Source organism: Homo sapiens, chromosome 18 (assembly GCF_000001405.40).
Source record: "Homo sapiens chromosome 18, GRCh38.p14 Primary Assembly".
NCBI classification, from domain to species: Eukaryota; Metazoa; Chordata; class Mammalia; order Primates; family Hominidae; genus Homo; species Homo sapiens.
In genome coordinates, this window is record NC_000018.10 from 1,237,322 (window position 1) to 1,259,742 (window position 22,421).

The window sequence follows — 22,421 nt, forward strand, 5'->3', positions numbered from 1 at the left end:
ATTCTTTTTATTAATCTTCTGGCTAACTATCATTTAGCTCTCCTGGTACTACCAGCCTCTTCTTAATTGCTTACAGCTCATTAACCATGTCTTTCTGTATTCCGACATTTTCATCTGGGGGCTTTTCTGATCCTGTAGGGAATGCCCATAACCAGGGTTAATCAATTACTAGAGATAGTAAACAACTCATGTGGGAGCACACTTTTCAAATGCAAACCAGCCAATTCATAGCCCATACCCCTAACCACCTCTCTTAGAAGGCTCTCAAACTGACTCTACTATTCATCTGTCCTAATCATCCCAGAGCCAAGTATCAGAAGTCTAGGGACATTTTTTATATCCCAGAGCTCACTGAAATTATTTAAACTAACCAATCTTAAGCCTGTTTACCATCCCTTACTCTTTTCCCCATAGAAAACACAATAAAGGCTCTAGTCACACTTTTCCCTGCTTCCTCAGGTCCTGAACAACTCCAGTGTTTCCCTGTGTGGCCTCCTTGTTTGGTGTACCATGCCTCCCATTTCCAGGAATCTATAAATATAATAAACTTATTATTTCATGACAACCAATTCTGGTGTCTTCCCATCTTACCATGCCTGATTAAAACAAATCCAGGGTACTCTTGGTACTCATCTATTTTTTTCAATAGTGCCCAGAATATTGAACTATACCAAATAAAGTCAGTTCCCTTGAAATAAGCTGTGGAACTCCCTGCTCTTACAGAATGCCCCTCCACCTGGGAAAAATCTCCATAGCCCTGCTCTATAGGACAATTTCCAAAGTATTCAAGAGCTTGGGTGATTTTTCTTCTATAATTTTTATCAGTTATGGTTGTTTAATTAGGGAAAGGATTCACAGAGTTTTTCATGCACCATTCTGGAAGTTACCACTCAGGCAGTCTTTGAGTTTCCTTGGCTTCAGGCTTTAATCTTATGTATTTTGCCATTCTTGCATTGCTATGAAGAAATGCCTGCGACTGGGTAATTTATAAAGAAAAGAGATTTAATTGGCTTATGCTTTTGCAGGTTGTACAAGCATCGGGTTGGCATCTGCTCAGCTTCTGAGGAGGCCTCAGGGAGCTTTTACTCATGGTGGAAGGCAAAAGGGGAACAGGCATGTCACATGGCAAAAGCTGGAATAAGAGAGGTGAGGAGCCTCATACTTTTAAACAACCAGATCACATGAAAACTTACTATTGCGAGTTACAGCACGAAGAGGATGGTGCTAAACCAATCATGAGAAATCTGCCCCAATGATCCAATTACCTCCCACCAGGCCCTGCTTCCAACATTGAGGACTATATTTCAACATGATATTTGGGCAGGGACAAATATCCAAACTATTTCACCTTGCAATCTAGCTTATACCTACTTCTGGCTCTTAGAAATCTATCTAGGTCTAGAAGTCTGTTTTCTACTTGTCCACAAGAACAGTTTGACACTCAGTCCTCCTTAGTCAGCTTGGATTGCTATAACAAAATATGACATATTGGGTGGCTTAAATAGCAGACATTTGCTTCTCACAGTTTTGGGAGCTGGGAAGTCCCGTATCAAGGTGCCAATACATTCAGTTCTTAATGATATGGCTCTTCTTAGTTTGCATATGGCCACCTTCTCACTGTGTCTTCACTTGTGGGGCAGGGGGAGAGAGAGCTCTGGTGTCTCTTCCTCATCTTATAAGGACACTAGTCCTACAAGGCTCCATCCTCATGAGCTCATCTAAACATAATTACCTCCCAAAGGCCCCACCTCCAAATAAAATCACGTTGGAAGTTGGGACCTCAACATGTAAATCAAGGGGGGGATACAAATTAGCAGTCCATGGCATCTTTAATCGAAATATTTACATTAAAGACCCTTTATATTTCTGTGTAACTAAATACAATATTCGGCTCTTTCTTTTGAGGTCTTCACAATCAGTGAGATTTGAGAATACTTCAAACTTATTTTGGTACATACACTTCCAATGTTCACTATGAATTTAAGATTATATTTGAAAATTTCTTACCTGATATTTTAAAAATAAATTGTATTGGTCCTGGCATAAATATGCTTACCTACATAAAAGGCTGGGAGCATCACCACAGATTTATTCTATTAAATGCTAGATTCAGAAAAATAAAGGCAAGGAAACTATTTGGTCCTATATCATTGCATATTGACTTATAATGTGCCTAAGGAAGTTAATATTATCAAAAAATCTTGTCAAATTATAACATATGCCATATAAAATGTACTGTACTTGCAGAATGTCAAGTAAATTAGTAGAATGCATGAAGTAAAATGTGTGATGAGGATAAGGGCAGTAGAGACAGAAATAAATTATGAAAAGAAAGAAGAAAACAAGTGCCTTAAGTATAATTTATTAGTCTTAGTTTATCAAATCCTATTTCAGCTCTTAAAAATTATTATTTAAAAAACCCAACAGTCCACAAAATTGAATGAAAATAAGAAAACTCAAACATGCCCATGCCTTTTTCTCACCATTTCTTCTATTCGTCATTTCTAAATATAACCAGTGAGCAGGTGCTGTTCCTACTAGCCTGAAAAAGTCAATGCAGATTCCAAGAACCAACTTCACACTCACCAATAAATGAATGTCTTCTCATTGCCTAAGGATCCATTTGAATGTATCTAGGACTGATTATTGATTTGCTGAGCTCCAACTATATGTCTGTCATTGTACAGGGCGTGTGGAACATATGGTAAAAGCATGATACAAGGCCTCTAGTCTTAAACATTTTATGTTCTATTTGAGAAGAGAACTTTAATTGAAAAAGGATTTAATCATATAGAATATAACACAAATATATTGTACATAGTAATGAAGATCATTGTATGCTGAGATAGCTAAGAAATCAAATCTTTAATTAGGCTATAAATCAGAAAACATTGTTTTAAATCTGGTTTCCACTACTTCCCAGTGGTATGATTTTAGGGAAATCACCTCATTTCTCTGACTCTTGGTCTCCTCATCTGAAAAGGTCAGTGATAGTACTTATGTCAGAGGTTTCTTTGGAAGATAAAAGATGAGGCACTAGAAATGTAATGCGTGACATAAATAAGCCATGTGATCAGCATTAGTTGAATTAGAAGATGAGAAGGATCTGGACAGGCTAAAATAAAGCAGGCAGATATTTCTAGGAGAAGCAAAACATAAATGTAAAATGTCAAACTTTAGGATATAAATAAATAACTTGTTTTCTCTTTTGTTTTAGACTAACGTATATTGAAAATTTTGGTAGTCCTGTTAATTCGAATCACCAACACATTAATTTCTCAGTTGTATCAGAAATATTTTCTCTGGAAATATTTGCTAAATCTGTGCCAGTTCTGAATATTTTTTGGCAGGAAGGGTGGGGACTATTTGGACCATTGTATCTTTTCAGATCTCTACTTAGAACTCTGTAAAATATTGCATACTCAAAATGGAATTCAAAGCCTGTAATTATGTATCAGCTCATAAGTAATTTTCTGAATTGTCACCTTTTCCTAATTTTGGATTGTGTTTTCTATTTCGAAATGAAATGTTGGCATGCCTACTATTTTTTTCTTCTTCAAATCTGGATGCCCAACTGTCGAACTTCTAAAATTTTACTTCCTACAGCGGAATGAACATGTTCTTAAATACACTTTTAAATTTTTGCTCTGAGTTATTTTGCCAAAGCAAGGGAGTCTTTATGACAGAAGAGAGTTGCTTGCAACAAACAAAGAAGGAAGAAGGAATTTTTCCAAACACAGGCATTTTATAAATTACCTAATACGTGCAAGAGGTTATTGAAGCTGTCTTTTCAAGAGCTTACACGATCTCTTTGGCTTTTTTTATCTTTCACATTTTAAATTTTGCTGCTGTCATGTGTATTTAGAGTCACATTATTTAAATGCAGCCATAAATAAGCAGATTTTGCAAAAGATTCAAATCTGTAGCATTTTTAGCTCACAAACAGTTCCAATAGTGGTGTGTAATTGGAAGACTGAATTCTGGTACTATTTAGACTTAGTTTAAAATACGGGTCTTCCATTCATTAACTTCATGGCTTTGAAGAAGTCACTTCTCATCCCAGAGTCTGTTTCCCAATCTGTGAATTGGGGATAATAATAAATAATGAGCACACAGAGTCTATAAGGGTCATATTTGATAGTAAATGTAAAGGTAAATGGGACAAGATAGTGGAGTAAGACTTTCCAGCACTGTCTCCACACACACAGAAATACCAATTTAAACAATTGTCCACAGATGAAAATACCTTCACTAGAGCTAAGAAAACCAGGTGAGAGATCACAGTTTCTGGTTGTGGCACAATGATGTAAAAAGATGCATTGAATAGGGTAGAAAAGACAATTTTACATTACCCACACTACCTTTTCCCCAGTCCCAGGCAGCACAGTGTGGAGAGAGATAGCATCTGCTTGGGGGAAAGAAAGGGAAGTGAGCACAGGACTTTGTCTTGGACCCACATTGGGCCCACCAGAGTAAAACCGAGCACTGGGCAGACTCCCCAAGGACCCATATACTAGGCCAGTATCACAGACTGAGCCCCTAGACCCACCCTGGCATGAGGTGGAATCACACAGCCCCAGGCTTCAAGCTTGTATGGTGAACTTGACCTATGGCCTGCACCAACACCAGACCAATGTCAGCAGCTTTGGGCTCTGGACAGCTCTAAGTGGCCTCTGGCTATATGCATCTCAGTATTATATTAGCCACAGCTGCCTCAGGCTTATCATCTGCTTTAGCACACATTTGTCATAGCAGGCCACAGGCTTCTGGCAATACTACGACAGCCATATCTGCCTCAGGCTACCAGCCTATACCAGGACTATACCTGCTGCAGGGCTTTCCAAGACAAAGCCAGCCTGTGAAAACTGGAATAACCCAGTTCTGTACCCACTTCTTCAAATGTCCAGGCATCAGTGTACAATAACAAGAATCAAGAACAATCAGGGAAATAAGACATCACCAAGTGGACAAAGTAAGGTGCTAGTGACTGACCCTAAAGAAATGGATATGTATAAGATGACTGACAAATAATTCAAAATAACTGTTTTAATGAAGTTCAGCAAACTTCAATAAAACAGAGAAACAATTTAATGAAATAAAAAAATGTAACCAGAATGATAAATTTAATAAAGATATTAAAATAATTTAAAAAATCAAATAGTAAATGTCAAGTGGAAATTAAAAGGAGCTCTTTAATTATAGCTATTATTATTTTTATTAGAGAAAAAACTGATCATCATTCAAAGCATATGAAAAAAATTGTGGCATGGGGATATTGAGAAAGTGTGGTCAATTTCAGCTTATAGACCCTGAATTATGTAGGTGGTATTGCATAATAACATATAATAGAGAACAAAATGAATAGGACAGGCAACAGGTGTATAGGAGTAATTGTTCATAATCGAAAATCATCAGTGCTTTATTTAGTGAAAATCAGTTATTACCTCATTTTCTCCAGGAAGATTTCATAGAGGCAAATGGTAGCAGAAGGGATTCTTTTGCCAGTGGTCAATGGGAAATCAAATCATTTTTGACATTAAAAAGACAAGCCCAGCTTTAAAAGTCTAAATATTCCTCAGTAAATGTATACTGGAAAAATCCCTTACTACATTTATTTTCTCTCTTAAGAACTTTAAAAAGGCAATTTACATGGCATTCAAAATGGTCAATATGGTAGGCTGAATAATGGTCCTACAAAATATATCTTTTAATCACCAGGATTTGTAAATGGTACATTACATGGCAAATAAAAATACTAAGCAGGTGTAATTAAATTCAAGATCTTACGATGAGAAGATTATCCTGGATTATCCAGGTGGGCCCTAATGCAATCACAGGACTCCTTATAAGGAGAGGCAGAGAGAGACTTGACACAGAATAGAAAGAAATGAGTGAAAGAAGCAGAGGGAAGTAGAGTCAAAAGAAAAGATGTTTTGCAACTGTCTTTGAAGGTGGAGGAAGGGGCCATGGGCTAAAGAATACAAGAAATGCTGTTCTAAACACTGGAAAAGGTCAGGACATAAATTCTCACCTCAGTCCTCTTGAGGGAGCATGAACCTGTTGTCACTTTCATTTCAGCTCAATGATCCTTATTTTAAATTTCTGTCCTCTGGATCTGTGAAAGAATTTTTTTTTTGTTGTTCTAAACTACAAATATTTTCCAGGCATAGGAAATTAACACAGTAGATAAAATATATGTGTCTATATCTTTTTCTCGTAAATCTCCATTAAACATAAGAAATTTTAGTTTTTCAACAATAGCAATTAAAATAGGAGGGATAGCATGGGCAAGAAATGTCAACAGATTTCTGGTAGATGATAAAGTGACATAAATATATGCAGAGGAGGCTGAATTGTGAAAGGGCATGGGTGCCAAGAGGAACATAAGAGAAACTCAAGAATCTGAGAGGGAAGCGGTGGTGATGGATGGAAAGGAGTAATACACAGGACTAACAAGATGAATATTTACTGAAGATTTCTACATTGTTCACTTAGGGTCCTCAAGCCCCTCTTGCTTCTACATTCAGGATGATCTCCAGCCAGACATTCACATCCAGTTTCCAAAAAAGCACAGTTCTTTTTAAAACTAAAACTGAATAAACTGTATAGAGGGAACCAGGCAAATTTATTTGGATGCTGGTATCTGGAAGAAAATCTTGCATTTTGGCATGTTGAGGAACTGTAGCATAACAACTTCCTGACCTTTCAAGCTGAAACAAATCCTGCTGTTGGCCCAGAGGACAGAGTTAGCCATCTATCTTATTTCTTCACATTTAAGTTTAAACAGGCAACAACACATTACTGCCTTTTGAGGAAAGCCTGCAAGAGAAAAATGTGAGATAGAGAAACTGATCCAAGAAAAAAACATTTATCAGGAAAGATAAAAAAAAAAAAAGTTACATTACAATTGTAACTAGATCCACTTTGATTTTGAAGATGTTTTATACATCAAGAAAAGGATGTCACGAATAAGGAACAGAAGACAGAATTTACAATTACAAAAAAGAAATCCAGAATTGAAATATAAAAATTAATAAAACTTCCAGAACCTATTATAAAGACAAAGACAGAAATATGAGAAGGAAGAAAATAAAATGTATAAAACAGGAGTTCTAACATCAAATTAATAGATTTTTAAAAAATAAATGGCAGGAAGGAAATTAGGAAAGTGAAGAAAACCTTCCAGAATTAAAGCAATGAGTCTTCCAATTTAGAGGCTGACCAAATACTGACAAATTAAGTGTACTTAGACATATCATTGCGAAATTTTCTCACATTAAGTATTCTTAAAATTTCCAGAGAGAAACATACTTTATAAAATGTTTTTAAAAAGACGCAGAATTAAATTGGTGTCAGACTTCCCATAAACAGCATGCAATGCTTGAAAACAATGCTCTGAGGGAAATGATTTTTAACCTAGAAAAAATACTTAGTGAAACAACCAATCTACTGGGAGAGAGACAACTTGCATACATTTTCAGCATACAAGGATTTAGAAAATTTACCTCCCACACTCACTTTCCTAGGAAGCTTCTTGAGGGTGTATTCTAAAAAATAAGACAAAATATAAGAAAGAGGAAGTCATGAGATTCAGGAAACAGTGGCTGAACGCCCAGGAGAAGAGTGAATGGAAGTGCCAGGACTGCAACTGCATAGCAGATCTAGGAAGCAACCAGTCAATATTGGAGCAGGAAGATGCAAAACTCTGCAAGAAAAACCTCTGGGAAATAAAGAGGACACCATACAATAATAGTAACTGTGTGAGAGAGACTAGAAATATCAAGAACTGGATAAAAATTTTAAAAAATGCAAGAAGAAAAATAAAGACCTACTCAAATTTCAGGAAACAAAAGTCAACAAGAGTCAAATAGAACAGCATGGGCTACAGGCAATTGAGAGAATAAATATGAATTGGAAAAATATTGTGATTAAGTTTCTATTACCAGTAATAGTGAAAAATAGAAGCAGAAATTAGAGAAAGCCAAATAAAACTCAAGAAATACACTGTCAAAATACAAACTAAATAAAAGTTGTATCATGCTTTTAAGCATAGGCTGGGTATGAAAAGAGATTCATCATTTGAACATGATGCTAAGAGTACTTTACTTTGGATATCTCCAAAATAGTATTTAGTATCTATAATAGAAATATAGATGGAAATGATAATATCTCATTAAATAGCCCTGTAGTAGTTAGATCATCATGATAACTTAAACAAGGTTTTTGCCATTTCAGCTTTTAGAGTCAACCTATATACAGAGCATGAAAGCCTTAATTATGGTCACGATAAATGAAAATATTATAAATTTTCATAAGGTAAGAGTAAAAACAACAGAAGTAGGGAGGTTGTTGGTATCGGGAGACATTAAATAGAAGGAAGGGTAAAGATTCTAATACCATTATCTTAAAGAATTATGGCTTTACTTAAAGGAACAAATAGAGGTTGAAGTGCATTATTTAATGGGGCTTGATATAAAATTTAAAGTGAGTTAGAGTAATATTTATGCAAACGAAAGATGATACAATGATATTGGTAGCGAAAGGATATAACTGAATTAAATTCTAGTCTATCATAGTAAAAAGTCAATATATGTGGTCTTAAGTGTATAAATAAAAAACTATAGTATATTACTTAGCAATATATTAATGCTTTAATAATATACTAATGTTGGATATTGTTGGATATAGAAATGTACTACTGCTGGATACTACCAACAAAAGATTTTTATTTTTTTAATGTTAAAAAATAAATAAAAGCTCTGAAGAAGAAAGGGACCAGATGTTAATACTTACTGAATCTCGATGGTCAATACACAATCCTTTGGATTTCTCTATACTCAAACACACACACACACACACACACACACACACACACACGATTATGGAATAAAAAAGACTCAATCAAACACAAATACCAGAACTAGCTATGTGACTTAGGGCATCTTCAATTCTCTGAACATTAGCATCCTGATCTGAGAGGTAGAGAGTAGTATCTATAATACAGTACTGTTGTAAGAATTAAATTAGTTTAAATTTTCAAAGGACTCAGTGTAGTTTCTGGCACCAGAAATCTAAATAAATGATAGCTTTCTTACAGGAAAGCTATCATTTATTCCCCTGGTGTGCAGTTGATAATAGAGAGCTGGAACCTGAGGTCCATTTATCTATATTAGCTCAAAAACAGAATTTCTGAAGACAATAGAAAAGTACCAAGCTTTATTATCTAAACTTTATAAAACACAGTCCAGAGAAGTGAAGGGTAGATCATCTTAACATAGATTTATGAAATAATTAAAACAATCATTCAAGGAAACTTTAATCAAAAAAGTATTAACAACCACCCCTTGCTCACCAATAATGTCATAATGTATGGTTCTACAACAATCCTGTTTACTATTTTATAAACTCCATGACTGAATACTGTTAGCACCTAATCAAGCAATTAATACATCTCTGTTGAACACTTATTAAATTCTGGGTACTACAAAACAGTATTTTCAGGGATAATTGGAAGGACAGCTGAGAAAGGAATGAGGCCAATAGACCCAAGTTTCAGGCACGCTGATTTATTTTCAGTCCTGCCAGGCTACCTCCTGACAAAAAGAGAGGAGGCAGCCCCGCTTACAGGCGACAGCAGAACTTTATAGGGTGACGAACTGGGTCAGGGTTGGGGAGCTGAGTTGGGTGTGCAGGAGGGCTGAGTCGGGGTCGGGGAGCTGAGCTGGGTGTGAAGGAGGGCTGAGCTGGGGTCGGGGAGCTGAGCTCGGGGTGCAGGTGTCTTGACAGCATCCTGGAGATGTTTTTTGTCAGCTTTGTTATGTGAGGTGAACAGACACGTTTACTGCATCCTGTAACTGTCTGGACAAACAGTTAATGGAGGGGTCTGTGAAGGGGGGGTTTGTCTTTTGCTCTGGGGTAGCTGTGTGGAGAGCGTAAGAGACTGTATTGTAAGGCCTGTGGGAGGGGAAGGGAATGGTCTGGTGGGGGTGACCCTAACAAGTATTCTCCAGGTTCTTATGATATGGTAGGAATATGCACAAAAAGGCACACCAGGCAGTATTTGATAAGCCCTAGACTTGTCCACAGAATTATAATTAAGACCGCCACCACTGCAAATAAAGGAGGATGTTGCAACAGAAATAGCACTAGCATTGATGTCAAGAGACCTGGTTTGGAAGCCAGCTCTTTTGGGTGACTGTGTTAACACTGTCACTTAATCTCTCTGAGCCTCGACTTGTTCACTTGATATACCACCTGGCCTGACTACCTCAAGCACTGTTGTGAATGTTAAAATGAGTTGACACATGAGAAATTGCTCTTGGAGGACATATAAACTCTTGCTGGGGAGTTGCTCCCAGCTGTGTCCAAGAGAGTAGTTAAATGTTCATTGATTTCCCCAGAACAGAGCCTCCAGTTTTCCTGCTTTCATTTCAAAAGCTAATTTCAATCTTCTTTGCTCTTCCTGATACCCCCTCTCCTGCTGCAGCAGTTACAGAAAACAAGATCAAATCAGCAGAATGGCTTTCTTTCCAAGGGGATAAAATTATCTTTACTTACGTGTATAAATTCCTGAGGCCAGGAAAAGGGCAGATCTAGCTTAGTACTGCTGACTCCTAGCCCTTTACTTTTGCAATGTCAAATTGCATATCTGTCTATCCAGTGAAAATTATAGCAGGGAAAATATGGGCACTTACAACTGGAAATTAAACAGTCCACTACCCAGCATTGCCACTGCCTCTACTTACCCGCTAGTTACTTGTCAAGAGGTCCAAATTATAATTCTATTACCTTGACAATGCCAAATATCAAATTTCCCCTATTTTTCCCTTTCCCCTACTCTCCAATGTTTGATGTTATTGTCTGAGTCTATTTTGTGTTGCTATAAAGGAATACCTGAGGCTGGGTAATTTATAAATACAAATAGTTTATTTAGCTCCTGGTTCCGCAGGCCGTACGAGAAGCATGGCACCAGCATGTCCTTCTGGTGAGGGCCTTAGGCTGCTTCTACTCATGGCAGAAGGTAAAAGCCAGTGTGTGCAGATACCACGTTATGAGAGGAAGCAAGACAGAAAGAGGGAGGTGCCAGGTTCTTTTTCACAACCAGCTCTGGTGGGAACTAATAGAGTGAGAACTCATTCACCCCAAGGGACCGCATTTATTTATTCTTGAGGGATCCATCTCCATAACCCAAATACCTCCCATTGGGCCCCACCTCCAACACTGAGGACCAAATTTCAACATGAGGTTTGCAAGGAACAAATATCCAAACCATAGCAGTCATTACGTAAAGTCTGAAAATATTTGTTAAATATCAGTAAATTTAGAGCAGTTGTTATTGAACAATATTGTTATTGGTCTGTTCTGGATACTCTAAATGAAGAATTATTTTCTTTAGCTAATTGGATATGCCGGTAATACCATGAAACAAGCCCAACTTTGCAAACTTTCAGCTATGAAGACCGCAATATTGTCTGAAGCTCCTCAGAATTGATGCTTTCCAAACCCAGAGAGGCAGGCTGAACTTTGCATAGAATATCTTATGAGTACAAACTCTTATAGTTTCATACAACTTCACATTTTTGTTTCTAGGCAACCAGAAACACAGAAATATGGCAGCCTCATATTTGTAATGCAGAATTCTGCTGTTTCAAGATTATTTATTGTAATAATTTCTGCCCTTTATATAAACGTATAGGGTTAAATTAGGCCCTGGCTGATTAAAGAAATGTAAAGGACTATAATTTGCTTTCCATAGGGTTCTAACTATGAGTCAGGCACCATTTAAAGGATAAAACTTATGCAAGATCCCTTCCCTAAAAAATCTTACAATATAACAGGGAGCTCTAACACTCTCATAAATATCTAAATGAAACTGTTACAACAAATGTTATCCATTTTTACTACAGCTATTTTCTTTCTTTATTTATAGTAATTACTGAGTGCCTATTATTTATGCCAAAGACTGTATGAGGAATTAGGACTCAAACATAAGTGACGTATTATTGCTGCCCCCTAAGCTTGCAATCTAGAGAAAGAAGGAAACAATAAGAAACTGATTTTACATCATCAAATAATAAATACTATATAAGATGTTCAGATACAATATATGGCAACACCCGAGGAAGACATTCGGGCCCTGTTTTAAATAATTCCCTCCACTTAAAATGTATTTCTCCACTCCTTACTTTGCATCGATACTCCTTTACCATCCTGGTAACTTACTCACTTTAAAGAACAAAGCTCAATGCTAACCTTTCCTGACACCACCTTTGCTATACACCTCAGGCAAATGTAGCTGCTATATGCCCTCTATGCCCATGTTAGCCAACTCTTGCATTGCTATAAAGAAATACCCGAGGCTGGGTAATGTGAAAAGAAGTTTAATTGGCTCACAGTTCTGCAGGCTGTATAAGCATTGTTCCAGCATCTGCTCATAGTGAGGGCCTCAGTAAGCTTCCAATCATAGCAGAAGGTGAAGGGAGAGCAAGCATGTCACATGGTGAGAGCGAGGGAGCAAGAGAGAGAGGGAGGAGGTGCCAGACTCTTAAACAACTAGATCTCGCAAGAACTTACTCACTATCCCAAGGACAACACCAAGCCATTCATGAGAGATCTGACCCCAGGATGCCAACACCTCCTACCAGGCCCCGTCTTCATTGGGGATTACATTTCAATATGACATTTGTGGGGGACAAACATCCAAACTTTATCAATGCCTGCACCAATGCTTAACACGTAGTTAGGAAATTTGTAGCCTTTTTTTTTCCCCAAAGGAATGACTCTGAAGTGAGAATACTGATATTTTCCTGTATCAAGTTTTCCTAAGACATGTACCTTTCTTCTTGAAGAACCAAAAAATATTGGCTACTAGCCATATATAAACACTGACATTGAGTAGTTATTAAATTTAATTATTCATGATGTCTACACTATATAAATTAAACATGACATAAGTACAACTTTTTCCAGCTTACTAGGGGACCACTCAGTATACAGCAAGTGAATGCATTCTGTTCAATAGCTGGAGCATATTGCCTGGTGAGCACCCACATGAACATCAAGTGCTTATGAGGTTAACGCTAAATTCCAGTTCTGTGCATTTTAAAGAGAGAACCCTATCCACACTATACACATCTGTCTGGCTCACTAACACACAGTGATTTCCCATTTTTTCATAAACCAGATTGTTAACTGCCTTAAAATATGTACTTATTCAGAGGCAACATTAAACAGCTGCCTAAAGAAATACTAGTACTAGAGCAATATCCCCTTCACCAACCATCTTCTTCTTCAATATTTTTCTTAGAGTCTCTTTTTAGTTTTCTTCTCCCCTCTTTTTCTTTTCTGTGTAGATTTTGAAACATCGTTTTGTTTTTCTTTGAGACGGAGTCTCTCTCTGTCACCCAGGCTGGAGTGCAGTGGTGTGATCTCAGCTCACTGCAACCTTCACCTGCTGGGTTCAAGCAATTCTCCTGCCTCAGCCTCCCGAGTAGCTGAGACTACAGGTGCATGCCACCACGCCTGGCTAATTTGCTTTTGTATTTTTAGTAGAGATGGGGTTTCATTGTGTTAGTCATGATGGTCTCAATCTCCTGGCCTCGTGATCCACCAGCTGCGGCCTCCCAAAGTGCTGGGATTACAGGCATGAGCCACCATGCCCGGCCCAAACATTGTATTTTTATGGTGCTCAAGACCACTCCTTTTATTCAATTTATGTATCTTGGTATTTCTTCTTTCAGGCAAAAGAGTTAATTTAAATGTTTGACATGTAAAGACAGATCAACATCTAAACACTACAATTAAAATTCAGAGAGTATCTAAAATGATAAGTTAAAAAATAGATAAATAAAAAAGTAAAGTAAGTGAGTTTCTTACAGGCAACCTATAATTACTCTTTTTCTCTTTAAAAGCCTGGCTTTATTAGCTTTAGATGTTTTTAGCTCATGCAAAGTCTCAAAATAATATTATATTAAACATTTACAGCAGAGTTGTTGTAGATCAAAATTTTACTTAAAATATTCAGAAGCATTTCCCCCTCTCTTAGAAAGCCAATCTAGTTGTTCCTCAAAATCCATTATATAAAAGAGTGAAATACACACACACACACACACACACACACACACAAACACACACACTTCTCCATTAGATTTTCTAATCTAAGCATTGTAGATACAAAACAAGGACAGCAGGATTATCAGTAAATTGATAAAATTATAAGTGCAAAATTTGTTTAGAAGCCATGGAATGTTATAATTAAAAATGAAACCCCCAAACAAGTAACCAATATCTTTGCTTTGGTTGATTGCTGTGTAACAAACCACCCTCAAAATTCAGTGGCTTAGGCTAGCACTTAATTATTCTCTCTCACACTTCGGTGTGTTGATTGGGTCAATATGGTGGCTCTCACTTGGGGTCTCTCATTGAATTCAAATAGCTGCTGGGGCTCCAGCTTGCTAAAGGCTTTACTGGCCTAGACATATACAATAGCATCTACACTCACATGTCTTCTCCTTGGCTGGGTTGACTGAAATAGCTGGAGAATGTCCACGTATCTCCGTTTTCCCCATGTTGCTCCACTGCTTGGCTAGGTTGGGCATTTGCTCACAGCGTGGTGTCTGCTGGCTTTTTCCAGGGTACTCATTCCAAGGGACCTAGGTGAAAATCTGCAAGGAATCTTACAATTTTATCTCAGAAGTCAGGCAGTATCACTTCTACCATGTTCTTCTGGTTAAAAACAAGTTACAGGACCATCTCAGATTCTCAGATTCAAGGAAAGGAGGCTACACAGGAGTGTGAGTACTGAGATGCATGGCTCCAGTGTGAGCTATTTCTGAAGACCTGCCAGTCTAACCTCTAATAGTATTTGCTTAACAATAGTGATAACCTTAATTTAATTCTAAATGTTATGTCCAATGGGTGGTACCAAAAGGGTTGGCAGAGAATAGAAATGGACACATCCCTCTGTGGATTTTATAGGATAATGTCTCATGAAAAGATATATTAGCAAGTGAAAAATGTATTTGATTTTTAAATTTTCTGCATTTGTGAATAGTTCAAATATAAAGATAATTTATAGATAATTCATAGGTCCTCCTTTCTGTCAATATTATCAATCACTATTCTTTAAAAAATACTTCTATAAAGAAGGTAATAAAAATATTTGTTTCATATTTCAATAAAAATGTTGTTTTAAGGAAAAGCATTTGATGCATTGAAGTCTTACCTCATTTGCTTTGGTGCATATACTAACAAGCAGCAGGCAGGCAACAAAAAAAAAAGTATTAAACAATAACATGCCTAAAAGATGGTATAGAAAAATGAGGAGTGCTATTCCTTCCTGTGACTACAAGGGATGTAACTAAATAGCCTAAGGCTTGAGGGAGCCATGTACGTCAAAGGAAACAAGCTCTCTACCACAACATGAAAAGACATTCTTCAACTCTAAACTTTTATATCTCCCTGCTGAAAAGGCCTATGTTGCTTACATTTGAGATCAGTATGACTATGCATACTAATAATATGACTTATTCCAGCAATCACTGTTTGGTTAGAATTTATAACTTGATTTGGACCTGACTAGAGATATGATTCTGTTCACTAATCCACTTTTGTCTTAGAACAAGCAGATTATGTTTGTCAGTTTTTGAATGCTATTAGGTTAATTTGATTTAGAAAAGCTAATTGGTTCAGTGTGTTATTTTTAAGAGGAAAAATGATTCCAAACCTAAGATAGACAATAGATATGTGTGCTACCCCACACTGCTAGGAATGTCTTGAAGTGTTTATAGAGTTAATAAAGCTACTCACAGAGGTGGGTGTTTCACATGGCCCCAGGCATGAATCGGACACCCCCTGAGTGTCTGCAGTTTTGAAAATGTAATGGGAGTAACAGAGTTTGTGGATTGCCTTAGAACAATGATTATATTTTCTTTTTTCTGAGATCATGTTACAAAAGGAAAAACTAGCTTCTTAAGTAACTAGGTAAGATGGCATGCTTCAAGCTGGTCTAGTTCTTGAGGTCTCATTAAACCTAAAGATTATTTATCATGCTGTGAGTTTGAATTGCTCTTTACAAAACTTTTTAAGATGTCAGTTTAAACACGCAAGTATACGGTATTCTAAGAAATGAGAGTTTAATAGCCTGTATTGATTCTTCTGTAAGTTTCAGGCATTCATATGCTGCTTATAGTCTCTAGTGACTCAATGACTAATTTCTGTCTAAGCTGTATGAACATCATTTTCTTTAGCCAATAGCCAAATACTGTGTTCCATTGTTTAGCATTGGCAATAGTGTTTCAACTGAGGAGATAAGCCACAACCCAGATAGTTTGTTGCATTATGGTATATTTTGGTTTGTAAATTGTCAGGGACAATAAATGTATGTTTTATCTTTTTTGACATATCTGTTTTCAAAGTAATTAACAATGGTCAGATACTTCTCTATCTAAAGCAATAATCTCACCTCAACCCATGGATCTTTTTGTTACTGGTTATTTGGAGTGCAAGATGCTGGCTAATACGGATCAGAAAATGAGTACTTTATATTGAAGGAGAGAAATGTATCAGGATTTGTTTGTGGAAATAGAATGCATGAAGCCATTGAATTCCAGTGAATATTTACAAATCTCTATGTCATTCTGGAGGAACGAACAGCTAAGGACAAGAAGATTGCAAAATATTTACTTTCTTGTGACTCTGTTTGAGGTAAGCCAGAAATGGAGTTGAGAATTGACAACGGAGCAGAGAATTCAGCTGACAATAGTAGAGGCCCAGTTCCTGGTTGTCCTGGTAACAGCACCACCTCCTTATAATAAGGGTTTTATTATGTGAAAAGACTTAAGCAAATGAAGCAACTATGGTTTAGAGGTAGAGCAATACATGGTCTGGATCAAGGGTTGGCAAATTACTGACAATGGCCTCTTTTTATGTGGCCCTCAAGTTAAGAATGGTTTCTACATGCAGTAGGTAATCCTAGTAGCTACTAGGTCAGAGGAATTTGCTTAAAAGTTCAATCTGTTGCTAGTTAATGTTATGAGATTAGAAACAAAGTACTCTGACCACTTTAAAACTAAATAAAATATTTTTTATTTTCTGCATTTTCTGTCTCCTTGTTTATAAACACAAAATCTGTACCAGTTATAATTCTTCACAGACATCTCCCTACTATATGAAATGTTAGTAGAAGTTTAATTTTCCCATTTATTTCATTAGTACTTCTAATCACCATGACTCAGATACCACAATTCCTAAAAACAGAAGTGGTCAAGAAATGGCATTGTTTAATAAGAACACATTTTATCTTGGTCAGTACATTCCATGAAATGCTAGGGGTTGGATATTCCACATCTAGTTGAATGTCAGAAGTCAGAGCCTGTTAACGCTTTTGCAAAGACAACTAGAAAAATCTAATAAACTAAAATTCTAGAGGAGAAAAAGTATATCTTAGGTGAGCTTACAATCACCTAGGGGCATTTATCGATTCTGAGAGTGGGCTGAGGATCAGATTTAGCCCAGGCAAAAAGTCTCCATGGGAAGGTGAAGGGAGGAAAGTTGGGGGGTGGGCGGGATGTGGGAATGTGGGTGGCAGAGAGAAGAAAAGCATAAGCACTTGAGAGACCATGTGAAGCTGGAGACATAAATTCCAAACTCGAGGGGCCTCACATGCACTGTCTGTTTTTCCCAAAGAACATTTGCTGAGTTTAGAACCAGTGTCGGAGGCCCAGGAGTTTGGAAGAAAGCTTCTAAATGTCGCAGTAAATCTCCCACAGTCTCACAGTACAGAGGAAATACAAATGTGTTGGCGAGAGGGCCTTCCTCATCTGCATGCCAATCTCCCCTTCAAGACATTTGTCATATTTTGAAGTTGCATGGGGCTGGAGTCCGGAGCTCTGACCTAGGAAAATCAGGGCAGAGCTTAGTCATGTCAAGACATTCCAGAATATAGACATAGACATTTTAATAGCACTTAATCAAGAGCCTGGAAGGTCCCATGAAGAAATAGTTGTAAACTGAACCTTACTAAAACTGTAACCCCTCTTCAGTACAGTTCAGTCCCTGACGGGCTTGAAGTGATCAATCCCTAATGCTAAATGCCTAGCGAAGGAAAGTGAGATAACTCTCTGATGAATATCGAGGTCATCTGAAATATTTGTAACTCACAATGTCTGTGATATATATATATCCAACAATATATATATATATATATATATAGTCCAGATATATATATCCAACAATATCCAGATACATATATATATACATATATATCTCCAACCATGAAAATAAAAATAGACAATAGAAGTCGACTCATTGATAAGCCAAGCAAGAACTTCAGAATAACTAATAATTATGTATTTTTTTAAATAGAGGAACTCCATTTCCAGTTTCTGGTCTGGCATGCAAGAAGCTTGGAAGGCATCACTCCTATTCACACAACAATAAAAAAGCATAACAAACTGAAAGTCAACCATTTCTTTTTACATCCATTAGAGAATTGACAGCATAGGGCAAACCACTGCCTCAAGAATTAGAGAGACAGGCAGATGGAGAAAATCACAACTTCAACAGAAACACAAGAGAAGAAACCACCACTGGAACCGGTACTGGAGTCAGAAAATCTCAATTACAATTGGAAAACTGCTAGAGGGTTTGTGTGTACAAATCTGAGAGTTAAAAACTCCCGTGGGCTCAGTACTTGGAGGCCCCATCCTTTTATGAGTTTTACCTCCAGGAGTTCTCTCAGGATCTCAAAGTGAAAATTGGGGAATAACCTCAACTTGATTTTGGAAGAGGAAAGGGGAAAGCAGCCATCTTGAAATATGACCAGAGAATTCTATTCTTCTTAATAAGACCTGTTCTCAAAGGAAACAATTTCACTAGAGCCTAATTGACTTTAATTTTCCAAGAGGCTATCCAACCTGGGGGAAGGAAAATATCCAGCTGTAGCTGGCTCTAGCCTTTCACTTGGGGGAAGGAGTTTGCCCAGCTCTAGCCTCTCTCCACTTCCCATCCCACTGAAGGAGGGGTGGGAACTGAGAAGCACTTATGAAGGTTATAGCCCAAGGGCAGAGATTCCCTAAAGGCCAGAGACCTAAGTATAGAAACACAGAATACTTTCCATCCTATCCCCACGTCAATAGGGCTCCTGTGTAATAACAGGATAATATAACTAAAAAACTGCATATTAGACCTGATTTAAGAAGTCAGTAGGGAACCTCAAAGACATCAAGGGAGACAACATCATAAACACCAGAGGAAACTTTAGCTTCTGATACCTAAAGCTGCAGCTAATAGTAAACACAACCTAACCCCTAAAAGCCAGATAAAAATAAAACTTTACACGAAGAAACCTATTTACTAGTTACTTTTGCCCAGTACCTTATGCCCAGCTTTCAACAAAATATTACAAGGCATAATAAAAGACAAAGACCACAGTTTTCAGAGATAGAAGAAGTACCAGAACCAGACACATAAATGGAAGATATATTGAAATTATCAGACAGGAAACTTAAAACAACTATAATTAATATGCTAAGGGTTCTTATGGCAAAAGTGGGCGACATTCAAGAACGTGGGTAAGATAAAATCAAAATCACATGTAAGAAATCAAAAACACTCAACTGGGTGTGGTGGCTCACGCCTGTAATCCCAGCACTTTGGGAGGCTGAGGCTGGCGGATCATGAGGTCAAGAGATCGAGACCATCCTGGCCAACGTGGTGAAACCCCGTCTCTACTAAAAATACAAAAATTAGCTGGGCATGGTGGCACACGCCTGTAGTTCCAGCTACTCAGGAGCCTGAGGCAGGAGAATCACTTGAACCTGGGAGGAGGAGGTTGCAGTGAGCTGAGATCGTGCCACTGCACTCCAGCCTGGCGACAGAGTAAGATTTCATCTCAAAAAAATAAAAATAAAAATAAATAAAAAATAAATAAAAACCACTCTAACAGAATTAAAGATTGCCTGTAATGGCTTCCTCAATAGACTGAACATCGCCAAAGAGAAAAATAATTAGCTTAAAGATATGTCAATAAAAACTTCTAAAATGGAAATGTGAAGAGAAAAAAGAATGGAAAAATGGAACAGAATATCCAATAACTATGGGACCATTACAAAAGCTGCAACATATACACACTGGGAATACCAGAAAGAAAAGATAGAGAAGAAGAAATGAAAGAAATATTTGAAGCAATAATGAATGAGAATTTCACAAAACAAATGATAGAAACCAAATCACAGATCCAGGAAGCTCAGTGAACACTAAGAAGAATAAATGCCAAAAACATCTACATCTAGGCATATCATATTCAACAGAAGAAAAAAGAATAAAATACCTAGCAGACAAAGGAAATACATTGAAAGAAGCCAGGAGGTTGAGGGGAAACCTTACCTATAGGAGAGCTAGGGTAAAAATTAGATCAGATTTCTCTTCAGTTACTATACAAGCAAGAAGTAATTGGAGTAAAATATTGGAAATGTTAAAAGAGAAAACTACTAAGTCAGAATTCTGTATTTAGTGAAATTATCCTTCAAAAGTTAAAAGTCACCCGTAGACTTGCCTTGTAAATAATATTAAAACATATCCCCCAAACTCTTATACACTGTTGGTGGGAATGTAAACTAGTACAACCACTATGGAAAACAGTATGAAGGTTTCTCAAAAAACTACAAGTAGTTTTGATGGCCCAAAAATCCCACTTCTGGGAATTATCCAAAGGAAAGGACATCAGTATATCATGGAGATATCTGCACCCCCATGTTTATTGCAGCATTATTCATAATAGCCAAGATATGGAATCAACTTAGGTGTCCAACAGTAGATGAATGGATTAAAAAGGTGACATATATATGTATGTACATATATATATATGTGTATACACACATACATACATACACGCACAAAGTGGAATACTGTTCAGACATAAAAAAGAATAAGATCTTGTCATTTGCTGTAATGTGGATGGAACTGGAGGGATTATATTAAGTGAAATAAGCCAGGAGCAGAAACTTAAACACCGCATGTTTTCACTCATATGTGGAAGCTAAAAAAAAGAGTAAATCTTATAGAAATAACAAGTAGAACATAGGATACTTGATACTGGGAAAGGTATAGAGAAGGGGGGACATGGAAAGATTTGCTGAGGGACACTAAATTATAGCTAGATAGGAATGAGTTCTAGTGTTTTTTTTGTTTGTTTTTGAGACAGAGTCTTGCTCTGTTGCTTAGGCTGGAGTGCAGTGGTGCTATCTTGGCTCACTGCAACCTCCGTCTCCAAGGTTCAGGCAGTTCTCCTGCCTCAGCTTCCTGAGTAGCTGGGAATATAGGTGTATGTATGCCACTAGCTCAGCTAATTTTTGTAATTTTATTAGAGATGGGGTTTCATCATGTTGGCCAGTCTGGTCTCGAATTCCTGACCTCAAGTGATCCACCCACCTTGGCCTCCCAAAGTGCTGGGACTACAGGCATGAGCCACTATGCCCAGCCAGTTCTAGTGTTTTATAACACTGTAGGATGACTATAGTTAACAATGATATATATATATAATATATAATTTCAAATAGATAGAAGGAGGATATTGAGTCTGTGTTCACAGATGCCCACATCGAAAAGTCAGAAAGCTCTTAAATTAATGGCCTAACAATGCAACTAGAGGTACTAGAAAAAAAAGAACAATGCAACTGCAAAGCTAGTAGAAGAAAATAAATAACCAAAATTAGAGAAGAACTGAATGAAATTGAGGCCCCCAAATCCATACAAAAGATCAATAAAACCGAGAGTTTTTTCTTCAAAAGAATAAACAATGTTGATAGACAAGTTAACAAAGAAAAAAAGAAAAGAGATGATCCAAACAAGCACAATCAGAAATGGTAAAGATGACATTACAACCAATCCCACAGAAATACAAAAGATCCTCAGAGACTGTTATGAACACCTCTATGAACAGAAACTAGAAAATCTAGAGGAAAGGATAAATTCTTGGATGCATACACAACCTCTCAAGTTTGAACCAGGAAGAAATTGAAACCTTGAACAGACCAAAAACAAATTTGGAAATTGAACCAGTAATAAAAAACCTACCAACCAAAAGGAGCCTTGGATTAGATAAATTCACAGCTGAATTCTACCAGATTTACAAAGAACTGATACCAATCCTACTGAAACTATTACAAAAATCGAGGAGGATGTACTCCTCCCGAACTCATTCTGTGAAGCCAACATCAGCTTAATACCAAAATTTGGCAGAGACATGATAAAGAAAGAAAACTTCAGGCTAATTATCTCTGATGAATGTAGATGCAAAAATCCTCAACAAAATACTAGCAAGCTGAATCCAGCAGCACATCAAAAAGTTAATTCACCAAGATCAAGTAGAGTTTACTTCTAAAATGCAAGGTTGATTTAACACATGAAAATCAATAAACGGG

At 37.1% G+C, this 22,421-nt stretch overlaps 1 long non-coding RNA gene across 1 annotated transcript in view; it reads left to right on the top strand.

Moving 5' to 3' along the window:
- LOC105371953 (uncharacterized) overlaps window positions 1-17,096 on the top strand; it is a 155,413-nt gene extending 138,317 nt beyond the window's left edge. Inside the window, exon 7 of the long non-coding RNA XR_001753318.2 lies at window positions 1,026-17,096. This is a non-coding gene — a long non-coding RNA (uncharacterized LOC105371953). The remainder of the gene's footprint in view (window positions 1-1,025) is intronic.
- Window positions 17,097-22,421: the final 5,325 nt, after the last annotated feature.